General features: G+C 35.4%; 1 annotated feature.

Annotated features, from left to right (window-relative positions):
• Positions 3,530–4,031: an enhancer, noted in NCBI's record as "OCT4-NANOG hESC enhancer chr9:82771847-82772348 (GRCh37/hg19 assembly coordinates)". NCBI's record gives its function as "activates a minimal SCP1, AML or CMV promoter by ChIP-STARR-seq in naive H9 embryonic stem cells {active_cell/tissue: H9 hESC(naive)}" and the evidence as "EXISTENCE:reporter gene assay evidence [ECO:0000049][PMID:30033119]".

The raw sequence follows: 12,658 nt of genomic DNA, 5'->3' as shown, positions 1-12,658 counted from the left end.
AATTTTTTAAGTTAAAGTTAAAAAACAACACCAACAGACACCACTAACAGTATTACTTATATTATAAATAACATAACAGGATTATAAATTATAAAATGGGGGTAGGGACAGGAAATATTTGACCCCAAGGAAATACTAATTATATTAATATCTACCATCTTTGAAAAAGGCCATTTATTTTCTTTTTTTAGTATTCTTCAAATGCATCATATGCATTATACAGCCCTTACCTAAAGAAGTTTTAAAAAACATTCTACAATAGAAAGTTCCCAGATACGGTTTTTGAAGAAGATTTAGTGGAGGGTGGAAAGGGAAGCAGCTAGTTTGAAAATATTATTTAACAAAACTAAAACTGCAACTTTGTTTCATTTTAAAAATAGACATTGCATTGCTTCATGTTTTCATTTTATGACTAAAATACTATGTGTATTGCATTTCTTCAGACAGATGTGAGTTTCTGGGTCAATTTGAAATTTGGTTAATCATTCATTTTTGCTAGCTACTTTAAAATGTTGTTTATATTAAGTTAAATGAAATCAATAAAAGGAAAAATGTCCCAAGCCTTTTATGCAATAAGGTTTCCAGTACAGGCCAGGTCAATTACCCCTCTGATACCTACAATTGGCATTTTAAATGATCAGGAAAAAATAGCTGTTACTGATAGTTTTTCAAAGCCAGCTTGGTTACAAGCCATTTCATAATCTCTGTAGAAAAGTGTTTCAGGAGAAATTAGATTAATTTTTAAAGGCTCTTTACCCTTGGGTTTACTGTAAGAATTCATCACCTTAACACACCATGTTTATTAAGCAATTCCATGTTTTATATATGATGTATATAAAATCTGGTTGTGTGAGGGGTTTATATTTAGCTGTATCCAAGGCTGAATGAGACAATCAGGGTGACAGGATGTTAACATATTAAACATATTAGTAAATAGGGCTTTAATTTTAACAGTAGGAGAGACTTGCTTCTATGCCATATATTATTTTGTTCGAATATTAATCACATCTTCCAAATTTTCCATGATTAATATCTAATGGTCATATTTTCTATGCATTGGGAACTTTTTTTCCCTTAACTATTACACAGTTATTTAATGACGAATTCCTCACAATTGCAAAATGATGTTTAGTTTTTTGACACACTGGTGATAAAATTTAAAATTTAAGGAAAAAAAGCCCTCCTAAGAATTGCATTACGGAGAACAAATCTTGCATTGGCCAAATGGTTTTACAAGGTAAGCCTTTCTGTCTCATTGATAGAACGTAAAGAACCCCTCAGTCACCTCCAGACTTAAAACACTCTATGGTGCAGAAGAAAATATAAATTCCCATCCTTGTTGCTGCCTAATTTTAGTTTGCCAAATGATGAGTCATTTGTTACTTTTCAAGAAATTATTTCCCCAAAAATAGTTTGCCTTATTTATTTTTACACAATTAAAAGAAAGAAAGAAAGGAAGAAAACTAATGGATAGCGAAAAGCAATTAGAAGGAACAATGTGAAGTTGCAGAAGGATTATATCCTTGCAGAAGATAAAGAAAAAAAATGCACGTATATTCTCTACATGCTATTAGAAAGTGTTAGTTTATTATTTGTTGTGTTAAACACATAGACATACAGATTAGGAAATATAATGATTTCTCTGTTGTTTAGAGACATGGAGATCAAAAGAGGACAATTATCCATCCTTCCATTCATTTAGTAAAATTTGAATGAGCACATACTATGTGCTGAGCATGGATGGATAAGACATGGAGAAAGCTACAACCTCGGTAACATTAGCAAACTGACATCCTCTTTCAGCTGCCTAATTTTAAACAGTGCAAACAGATGTTAGATTGAAAAGTTATGTTGTTTATTTTCTTTGAAGAAAAGAAGTGGGAGACTCGGCCTTCCCCCTAAAGCTCCCCAAAGGCTCAGGAGTTGAAATTTGTTGTTTACTGTGTAAAGTAAAAACAACAGTATTTGCATCCTGTTTCCACTGGGGGATTAAAACACAATGGCCCTTAGCTCTAGCGTGGGCTCTGCCTTTCAACCATTTATAATACTGAGTATTACTGCCTTGGAATGAGGAGGCTACAGAACAGGGAGACAATGTTAGAGTTAGTACATTAAAGCAGATTTCTAATTCTGCATAACTAGCATGCATTTACTTCATTAACTAGCAGTTACATTTCCCACGCCTTCAATTAACACTGGTTTCATTTTAAATGCTATCAGTTAAGACAAGATGCGATAAGAAAACATCATTGCCAAGCAAGCATTCCTCAAACACTGTCTGATTTATCTCTTTGGCAATTCATTAAAATGCAAAATATATTGAAATTGATTTTCAGCACTTTCAGGCAGGAATGTTTGTAATAATGTTAATTTGCAAATTTCCTTTTTTTTTTTTAAGTCTCTGTGCTGTAGTCGCCATGTTTAGCTGGAGGCTATTTTTATTGTGCAGACAGAAAATGAACAGCGAACATTTATTTCTCATATCTTTCTGAGAAACCTGAGGTGCATGAAGATATTTGTTCTGTAACAGGCATAGTCAATCTCCTTCACTCGCTTTCGTCGCTATATATCACCAGCAAACTCCCAGCTAGTCCTGCTGTAGCAATTAACCTGCCAGAGCTCTCTCCTGTCAAACTTGTTAATAATAAACTCCTCCCTCCACCACCCCTGAGAGAGACAGAGCTATAGATTCTGGCTCTGCAACTTCCATAGAGGCTGAATTATTCAGAATCAGCATGATTAAGAAGATGACATGGATATTAGTTAAAAAGACATACTTTTTTTTCTCTCTCCCCTGACTGAGGTTTAAACCTATTAAGGTTTAAAGCAGTGGAGGCAACTGATCTTTCCCTCTTTAGTGCACCAGTCCTAAAATAGGAATCCTTGAAAGACTATTTACAATACCTTGTCAATGTCCAAGTTTATGAATAAAAAGTATAAATACCAGGAGGGAAGTGTCAGAGTCAAAATGTACAGCTCGTGTAAATCTAGGAACTGGCTAAAAATAATATTTTCACCCCAAAGAGACAAAAGGAGCGGGTTTGTTTCAAGAAATTAGTCATGTTTCAATTGTTATTCTTATAAGCAATGAAAAAGCTTCTCATGTTTGTGTTTTTTGGGTCAGTTTCAAGTGGACCAAACTGTGATTAATTATAAGTTTAAAATCCGGATACACGCTCTGTCAGATAACAAGTCGTTAGACTCTAGAAATAGCATATCCCTAACAATAATCCTTGTCTTTATGAGGATGGCAGTATTATAAATGTCATAATGGATTGCAAATGAACCAGCTGTTTACATTCTACTGTAGCACATGAATGGGAGGCTAGCAAGCCAGGAAATAAAAAGAGATTGAGGAAAATTTACTGATACCAAGTCACAGAAAAAAGCCCAAGGAACTCAATTTTTACGCATTCCCATCCAATTTACCCTTGCTGACTTTTGGGGGGGAAGTGTAGCTTTTGAAACCAGTTGTATTATTTCACTTTAAGATGCCTTCTAGTATATTCAATAGACCCATCAGAGTTATATGTTCCTTTTTCAGTCTCAAGCTGCCCTCACCATATGAGATTGGTTACTGTCTGAGGACTTTCAGAGAAGGATTTGAATGCAATTTCAAGGGCCAGACAGAGCAGCTTTCAAAACACTGCAAGCCTAGGAAAGCAGGGTTAGTGGCCCAGGAGGGGTGAGAGACTGGTTTTCTCTTTCTCATTTCACTTCAAGCTAAAGCACCTTTTGATCCCAACCAGGTGAATTGGAAACAGCATGGCGTTTCTAATTGAATGACCCCACCCATCCAAGCTCTGTAAAATGGCAATTATCAGTAACTACATTATTGCCAGCATCTTCCGCATTAGCCCATGGAGACTGGTGATTCCTTTGGGAACAGAAACACTTTGCTCTTCCATGTATGATTAAACCTAGGTCCACCCATGAGATTTCAGCAAATAGCCAGGCTGCTCACATGTGCTTGTTAGCAGATGGCCATTTTCTGCACATCAGGTATGAATCATAGGTGTTTGTTATGCAAAGATCTTATTTCAAGTTTCATGTCCTCTTTTATCAGCCAGAACTAGAACCCAGCAAAGGGATGCAAAGGAGGGGTACAATTTTACATTACAAATTAGGAGTGTTGCTTTATGGGGCATTACAGCTACTCTATTTAAAAATCCAATTCAAAAGATAACATTACCACTTTGTTATGTTCGCATTTTCAGATAAGGCACCTTACCCCTGGCTGCAGTTTTCTTATCTCTCTAATATTCATGGAGTGGTAGCTTTTAATTAAACCATCCACAACTCTATGTAACTCAAAGTGTATATTTTACTGCTGAGGGAACCAATAGTCAAGAAAAATTCCATATTTTTAATTTATTTTTAATGCCTGGATAGTTTTATTATCAGTGATGTCATGAACAGTGTTGTCCTACAAAAATGACTAAGTGCTGTGTTTCAGGAGACATACAGATCATATCAGGGGTCCCAAAAGTTCATGAGACTCTTGATTTTCACAGATGGGTTATTCACAGATTTGACTTTGCCAGAAACTCTTCGAGGTCCGTAATATGTAACCATTTGTCATTTTCCCCAGGCATAATTTTATTCACATGCATGGCAGATCCAGAATGTGGAGGTGAGTCACTAAATTACTGATTTCTCCAAATTAACTATCTGTCTTCTTCAAATATAAAATGCATTGACTTCTGTGACATCTCAGACTCCTGATTTTTTTCCAAAGGTCACATTTTCTCGGCCTTGTTTTCAATTCCATCACCTAGATGTTAAGGTCCACACCTCTTTTTCAGTCTTCACACTCTCTTCAGGTCATCTTTTTGATGCCCAGGATTTCAAGTTCTATGTATACGTTGATGACTCACAAGTACAAATTACCCACCCGTATCTTGCTCCTGAAATTCAGAGGCAAATACTCAGCTTCATCTTGCACACTGGATATCCTACTGGCACTTAAATTCAATATATGCAAAATAGAATTCATAATAATAATAGTAATAATGCACATAATATTGAATTAGCATTTAATGCTTATTCTCATAATCTTTACCAAAACCCTAACATGTAGGAGACTGTCATATTCCCCATTTTACAAGGGAGGAAACTAGGACTTAAAGAGGTTAATTGTCAAATGTCAAATGTTCACAAAGAGTTATGATTTGGACCTAAGTGCACCTGCCCAGAGTCTATGTTGTTTATCACCACTCCCATGCTGACTACCCTTAGTTTCCTCTTTCACTTAATTCTTCCTAGTGGTGTTTCCTATTTGGATGGTGCAACTGCTTCAGGGTGACTTTCCTGTTCCCATGGAGTAAGTTGGGTTTCCAGGGCTAAAGTCTACAATTAGTTTTTTAAATTAGCACCTTTTTTCCCCCCCAGAGAATCTGTAATCATGTATTTGACTTTTAAACCTCTCAATAGCCTGGGAAATACACTGGACAGATACCAGCTCCATTTGAAGTTGAGAAAACAAAGCAAAACAAATTGCTGAGGGAGGGAATAGTTCCGAAAGAGGGAACAGCAAGTGCATAAGCCCGGGTGGGGTAAACATAAAATAAAAGTAGCATTCTCAAATAACAGAATCATTTATTTTTTAAGTTAGAGCACAAAGAATGAAAGTGAGGAGGGGCAAGAGGCAAGAGAGGCAGACGGGTGCTAGATCACAGAGGCTTTTACAGGCCATGTTAAAAACCTGAAAATGTATTCTAAGAACAAAACAAGAAACACTTCAGCAATGGGATATGAAAACCCAAAGGTCGTTTATTTAATTCTCAGTCATTGATGGGCAAAACTGATCATAAAGACTGAAGTTTAAAATTTTTTCAATGCATGGAGGATGCTGATGAGGAAGGGCAGAAGAAAAATGATAAATTGTGATCTTTTTACTTATGCATTAAAGGGGCAAGTACTCCAGGGAACCTTGTGTAAGATATTAAGAGAATAGGTCTCCTAATAATATTACATATGTGTGTGTGTGTGTGTGTGTGTGTATATATATATATAATTATATATAATATATTATATATAATTATATATATATAGTATTTTTAAAGCAGTTTTAGGTTCACAGAAAAATTGAGTAGAAAGTACAAAGTTCTCATATAGCCCCAGCCTGCACCCCCTTACTCTACCTCAAACAGCCTCCCTGACCATCCATATCTAGCACCAGACTGGAACATTTGTTACAACTGATGAACCTACCTAGACACATCCATATCACCCAAAGTCCATAGTTTACTTTAAGGGTCACTCTTGGTGATGTATATTCTATGGATTTTGGCAGTTGTATGATGACATATAGCTATCACACCAAGTTGTTTCACTACCCTAAAAATCCTCTCTGCTCTGCCTGTTTATCTATCCCTTCCTCCTAACCCTGAACAACCACTGATGTTTTTACTCTAACCATAGTTTTGCCTTCTCCAGGGTGTCATATTGTTGAAATAATATAGTATGAATCTTATTCAGACTAGCTTATTTCACTTAGTGATGTGCATTTAAGTTTCTTTCGTGTTGTTTCATGGCTTGATAACTCATTTCTTTTTAGTACTGAATAATATTTCATTCTATGAATGTACCACAGTTTATTTATCCATTTATCAGTTGAAGGACATCTTGGTTCCTTCCAAGTTGTGGCAATTATGAATAAGGTTGCTACAAACATACATGTATAAGTTTCGTGTGGACATAAGTTTTCAGCTCCTTTGGATAAGCACCAACAAGTGCAATTGCTGGATCCTATGGTAAGAGTATGTTTGGTTTTGTAGGAAATAGTCACCAAAAACTGCTGCAACATTTTGCATTCCCATTAGCAATGAATTCCTGTTCCTATTGCTCCATATCCTCGTCATCATTTGATTTCGTCAATATTATGTGTTTTAGCCATTCTGAGTAGATACGTTGAAGTATCTAACTATTGTTTTAATTTCCAATTCCCCAATTACATATGATGGTGAGCATCTTTCCATTTAGTTGTCATCTGTATATCTTCTGTGGAGAGATGTCTGTTCAGGACTTTTGCCCATTTTTTAACTGAGTTGTTCATTTTTTTAATTGTTGAGTCTTAAGAGTTCTTTGTATGTTTTGGAAATCTGTTATCACATCTCCTTGATTTTCCCAGCCACTAGGGGTTGTCTGCACTCCTTGGCTTGTGGCCCCTTCTTGCCCCTTCGAAGCCATCAGTGCAGCTTCAGTCCTTAGGTAGTACACTTCTGAACTTGCACCTGTCATCACATTTTTTAACTCTCTCTTTTTCTGTCTCCCTCTTCCACTTTTAAGGACCCTTCTAATTACATTGGGCCCACCCAGATAAGCCAGGATAATCTCCCTTTTTTATAGTTAGCTATTAGCTCCTTAATTCTCCTTTTACCATGCACCTTAACATATTCACAGGTCCTGGGAATTAGGAGGTCGGCACTTCTCAGGAGGCATTGTTCTGCCTACCACAGTGCTCCATAAGTATTTGCTATTTATTAGTAGGAGTAGGAATTTTAAAACAATATGAAGTCACTACTTATAAAATGATTAATATTGAGTTAATAAAATCTTAATATTTTACAGCTGCCTTGTTTCCACTTAATTCAAAGCAACAGTTATTTTTTTTCTTTCTTAGCAGTTTAAATGTATGAATCTGTTTAAAGTATTTAACTTAGTTTTCATAGGAACAAAAACTCTTGTCTTTTCACACTCACCTGGGGCGAAGAATTTATACAATATTTAATTAAACTAAATAACGATAGTGATAATTATACCTGCGATAAATGCATGGGGAGAAGCACAACCGGCTATTGGTAAGCATAGAACTCAGACTCAGCTGGAGAAGCAAGAGAGTTTGGGCTCATCAGAGGAATGCCAACCAGTGACAGACACACAGCATACAGGGAGCATTCATCTGTGTGCTTTGCAGAGGGAATGAAGATTGTCCATTAATCTGGTAAACCAGTTAAGTGGAAGATTTTTGAAGAAAGCTTCTGCTCTGCTTCAAACAATAGAACACAGGCTCTGCAGGCAGACATCAGTTCTAATTCATTCTCACTCATATCTTACAAGGTAGGTTACTTTGAGCAAATTAATTAGTGTCTAAGATGTTCTGTTCCCTCCTCTTGTCAAATGAGGATTAAAATAATATCTACTTCACAGTGTAGTGGTAAGTTCAGTACTAACCTTGTTCTTGCAAGTAAAGATGTTCATTGCATGCTAGTCAATAAATCACAAGTATTTGCATACTATTTTCATTAGTTCCTCGAGTAAATTCCTACACATAAATTGCTGAATGCAAGTGTATATAATTCTCTTAATTTTAATACAGCTATTATCAAAATTATCTCCAGAAATATATGCTCATTTCACTTTTGCCTATAATGTGTGACAGTGTCCATTTCCTTAAAAAAAGTGATAATATTTTGTATCATTTAAAAATTGCCGTTTGACAAAAGCAGTGTTAAGAGGAAAGTTTATAGTGCTAAATGCCTACATCAAGAGGACAGAAAGATCTCAAATTATCAACCTAACCTCACACCTAAAGGAATTAGAAAAATAAAAACAAACTAATCCCAAAGCCAGCAGAAGAAAAGAAATAACTAAAATCAGAGCAGAACTTAATGATATTGAGACTCAAAAATCCATACAAAGGAACTACGAAACAAAAACTTGGTTATTGGAAAACATAAGCAAGATTGATAGACTCTAGCTAGATTAACAATGAAAAAATGAGACAAGAACTAAATAAGCACAATCAGAACTGACAAAGGGGACATTACAGTTGATCCCATGGAAAATACAGACGATCCTCGGAGATTACTATGAACTTCTCTATGTGCACAAACTAAAACATCTCGAAGAAATAGATAAATTCCTGGGTACATACAAGCTCCAAAGATTGAACCAGGAAGAACCAGAAATCCTGAAAATACTAATAATGAGAAATTGAATCAGTAATAAAAAACTTACCCTCCAAAAAAATCCCCAGACCAAATGGATTCACAGCCAAATTCTATATACCAGATGTGCAAAGAACTGGTACCAATCCTACTGAAACTATTCCAAAAAATTGAGGAGGAAGGACTCTTCCCTAACTCTTTCTACAAAACCAGTTTCATCCTGACACCAAATTCTAGCAAAGACACAACCAATAAAGAAAACTACAGGTCAATATCCCTGATGAATATAAACTCAAAAATCCTCAGTAAAGTATTAGCAAACCAAATCCAGCAGCTCATCAAAAAGTTAATTCACCACCATCAAGTGTGCTTGAATCTTGGGATGCAAGGAGGGTTCAATGTACATGAATCCATAAATATGATTCAACACATAAACCTAATTTTTAAAAAAATGTATGATCATCTCAATAGACATGGAAAAGCTTTGGATAAAATCCAACATACCTTTACAATAAAAACCCTCAACAAACTAGGCATCAAAGGAACATACCTCAATATAATCAAAACAATCTCTGACAAACCCACAGACAACATCATACTAAATATGCAAAAAGTGGAAGCTTTCTCCTTAAGAACTGGAAGAAACAAAGGATATCCATTCTCGATATTCTTATTCAACACAGTACTGGAAGTCCTAACCAGAGCAATCAGGCAAGACAAAGAAATATAAGGCATCCACATAGGAAAAGAGGAAGTCAAATTATCTCGCCTCACTGAAAATATGATTCTATACCTAGAAAAACCTAAAGATTTTCGAAAAGATGTCCTGGTCTGATAAACAATTTTGGCAAGTCTCAGGATACAATATCAATGTATAAAAATTGGCAGCATATCTATATACCAATAAGGTTCAAGCTGAGAAGTAAGTCAACAGTACAATCACATATACAATTGCCACAAAAAAGGTAAAATACCTAGGAATACCTCTTACCAATGAGATGAAAAATCTCTACAAGTAAAGCTACAAAACACTGTTGAAAGAAATCATAGATGACACAAACAAATGGAAAAGCCTTCCATTCTCATGGACTGGAAGAATCAGTATCATTAAAATGTCCATACTGCCCAAATCAATCTACAGATTCAATGCTATTCCTATCAAATTACTAACCTAATTCTTCACAGAATCAGGAAAACACTATTCTAACATTCTTATGGAACTGAAAAAGAGACCAAATAGCCAAGGCAATCCTAAGCAAAAAGGATAGCTGGAGGCATCACATTACCTGACTTCAAACTGTACTGCAAGGCTATACTAACTGAAACAGCATTGTATTGACGCAAAAATAGACACATAGACCAATGGAACAAAATAGAAACACCTGAAATAAAGCCACACACCTACATCAACCACTATTCAACAAAGTTAACAAAAATAAACAATGGGGAATGGATACCCTGTTCAATAAGTGGTACTAAGAAAACTGGCTAACCATATGTAGAAAAATGAAACTGGACCCCCACCTCTTATGATATATAAAAATTAACTCAGGATAGATTAAAAACTTAAGTGTAAGACCTCAAACAATAGAAATGCTAGAAGAAAACCTAGGAAATACTATTCTAGACATTGGCCTAGGCAAAAAATTTATGACTACATCTTCAGAAGCAAATGCAACAAAAATAAAACTACAATTGGGGCCTAATTAAACTAAAGAGCTTTTGCATAGCAAAATAAGCTATTAACAGAGTAAACAGACAACCTACAAAACAGAAGAAAATACTTGCAAACTATACATCTGACAAACGACACTGTCCAGAACCTATAAGGAACTTAAATCAACAAGAAACAAACAAATAACCTAATTAAAAAGTAGGCAAAGAACATAAACAGACACTTCTCAAAAGAAGACATGCAACTGGCCTACAAACATGAAAAAATGCTCAACGTCACTAATCATCAGAGAGATGTAGATCAAAACTATAATGAGATACCATCTCACACCAGCTAATATAAGCTATTGTTAAAAAGTCAAAAGAAAAATAACAGGTGTTCATGAGGTTGTGGAAGAAAGGGAACACTTACAGACTGTTGATGGGTATATTAGTCCATTCACATTTCTATGAAGAACTACCTGAGACTGGGTAATTTATAAAGAAATGAGCTTTAATTGGCTCACAGTTCTTCAGGCTGTACACAAAGCATGGCTAGGAGGCCTCAGGAAACTTACAGTCATGGTGGAAGGCAAAGGGGAAGCAAGCATATCTTCACATGGCCAGCAGGAGACAGAGTGAAAGGGGAGGTGCTATATACTTTTAAACAACCAGATCTCATGAGAACTCACTCACTATCACAAGAACAGCAAGGGGGAAATCTGCCTCCATGATCCAATCACCTCCCACCAGGTCCATCCCCGAACATTGAAATTAAAATTTAACATGAGATTTGGGTGGGAATGCAGAGCCAAACCGTATCAGCGTGAATGCAGATTAGTTCAGCTCCTGTGGACAGCAGTTTGGAGATTTCTCAAATAACTAAAAATAGAACTATCTCAACAAACTAAAATCAGAACTACCATTCAACCCAGCAATCCCTTTACTGTATATATACCCAAAGGAAAATAAATCATTCCACCAAAAAGACACCACCACTTGTACATGTATCACAGCACTATTCATAAAAGCAAAGACATAGAATCAACCTAGATGTACATCAAAGGTAGATTTGATAAAGAAAATGTGGTACATATACACCATGGAATACTACACAACCATAAAAAGGAATGAAATAATGTCCTTTGCAGCAACATGGATGCAGCTGGAGGCCATTATTCTGAGCAAATTAACACAGAAACAGAAAACAAAATACTGCATGTTCTCACTTAAAGTGGGAACTAAACATTGGGGACACATGGTCACAAACATGGGAACAATAAAACATTGGGGGTTCCAAAAGGCAGAAAGGAAGGAGAGCAAGGATTGAAAAACTACCTATTGGGTACTATTTTCACTACTTGGGAGATAGAATCAGTAGAAGCCCAAACCTCAGCATCACGCAATATATCCATGTAACAAGCCTGCTATGTACCCTTTGAATCTAAAATTAAAATAAATAATAATACAATAAAAACAGCCAATTGAATTGCCTAAATAAGTAGTATCTGAAATTATTCTTTTCATTTGAATTTCTGTGATTATTGCTTTTGGGAATTCTTTCATGTAAAATTTTATTGACCAATTGATATCCTCTTTTTGTGAGTTATTTGTTAATATCCTTACCCCATTTTAATTAAGAAGTTTAAAGTGTTATGACTGATTTGTAAGATTTTGATATATTAAGCCCTATGTCATATAAGCCCTTAATTTTTCTGATTTATGTTTTACTGTCTGTTTTATTTATGTGTCCTAAAGATATCCTTGAAAGACAATTCCTGAATTGCCTCTTTCCTTTGGGAGGAAAACAATTTTAAAACACCATCTGCCTGAGATTTCTTATGGCTAGTAAATTTCCCAGTGATACTACGGCATGCAATTCAGTGTTCATCAAAGAGTTCATTTGAATCTTTAGTAATTATTTGACTTTTTAAGAAACCATGACTATCTTCAGAAAGTTGTTTCTTCTTTACATTCTTCTCATACCTTAGGTACTAAACCAACTTGTATTTGTGATCCCTGACTTTTTTTTCACCAATCAATTTCTATTCTTTTTAAATTGCATATTTGAGTAGGCTTTCCTTTATTTAGTAACTGTTGCCTTAAAGCTTTTT

The sequence above is a fragment of the Homo sapiens genome, chromosome 9 (genome assembly GCF_000001405.40).
Source record: "Homo sapiens chromosome 9, GRCh38.p14 Primary Assembly".
NCBI classification, from domain to species: domain Eukaryota; kingdom Metazoa; phylum Chordata; class Mammalia; order Primates; family Hominidae; genus Homo; species Homo sapiens.
Note: the sequence above shows the minus strand (reverse complement) of the source record. Positions and strands in the feature narration are given on the sequence as shown.